The sequence below is a fragment of the Homo sapiens genome, chromosome 7 (assembly GCF_000001405.40).
Source record: "Homo sapiens chromosome 7, GRCh38.p14 Primary Assembly".
Classification (NCBI taxonomy): domain Eukaryota; kingdom Metazoa; phylum Chordata; class Mammalia; order Primates; family Hominidae; genus Homo; species Homo sapiens.
In genome coordinates this window covers 22377921-22378763 of record NC_000007.14, presented here as the reverse complement: position 1 = coordinate 22378763, position 843 = coordinate 22377921, and the positions used below count along the sequence as shown (strand labels likewise).

Below are 843 nucleotides of genomic sequence, written 5' to 3'. Positions count from 1 at the left end.
TAAAAGCAGCCAGAGACAATCTATAAATAAAACTTTATTTTTAAAAAAAAAAGCAGCAGGCTGGATTTGGCCTGTGAGCTGGAATTTGCTGACCCCTGGCCTCAGGAGCTGGCTTCCCAGAGCACAGCCTCTCAGATGATTCTGTCATTCAAAAAAAAAAAAAAAAAAATATATATATATATGACATATGAGGACAAATGCAAAGGTACCAGGCTTATTTACATTCAGAGAAAAAGAGCCCAAGGCCCACGGGGACTTCCATGGTAGTAGAAACTCAGACACTCGGAGCATTCACTGCTGGGTAAATAACCCATGGGCAGAGTTCACATCGTTTTTCATTTGATCAAGTCGAGAGCATGTTTCATAAGCAAATGCAATGCTCAGGAGCTTCTCAGCGTTTGTAGTGAGTGGCATGAATTTACATTCCCAGTCTCCCAGTAGAACTGTGGAAAGGACTCCCTCTCTGCCTTTCTCAGACATCCTGGTTAAGTCCTGGGAGGTTCCTTCCAAGATCCCCCATGCTGGACAGGAGGCTGCCCAGGCAGTAACTAAACCCATGCCTGCCGCTTATATTACAGGAACTTAAGACAAAAGTATAAAGCCCTCAAAACTGTAATTGCTAGATGAATAGGCCAATCAAGCCCTGTAGATTCAAGTACAATGATCATCAGTGTGATTTTCAGAAAACAATAGGAAAAGGTAAGCAAAATCAAGTGCCTGGGCTATTTTTTCCTCTTCCCTGGTCTGTTCACTTCTGGTTGCTAATTATTGTCTCTAGAGGTGCCTGCTTCCCTTCTTGTTGTCCAGCAAGCGTCTCAGCCTCTCTCTCATTACTGAATCCCT

At 43.3% G+C, this 843-nt stretch overlaps 2 annotated features.

Annotated features, from left to right (window-relative positions):
- Nucleotides 247–391: an enhancer, noted in NCBI's record as "145 bp enhancer 142 fragment used in the MPRA reporter construct; PK_construct_1753". NCBI's record gives its function as "activates an SV40 promoter by MPRA in HepG2 cells {active_cell/tissue: HepG2}" and the evidence as "EXISTENCE:reporter gene assay evidence [ECO:0000049][PMID:23512712]".
- Nucleotides 313–326: a transcriptional cis regulatory region, noted in NCBI's record as "HNF4 motif; enhancer activity is reduced when this motif is scrambled". NCBI's record gives its function as "necessary for full MPRA enhancer 142 activity {active_cell/tissue: HepG2}" and the evidence as "EXISTENCE:site-directed mutagenesis evidence [ECO:0005528][PMID:23512712]".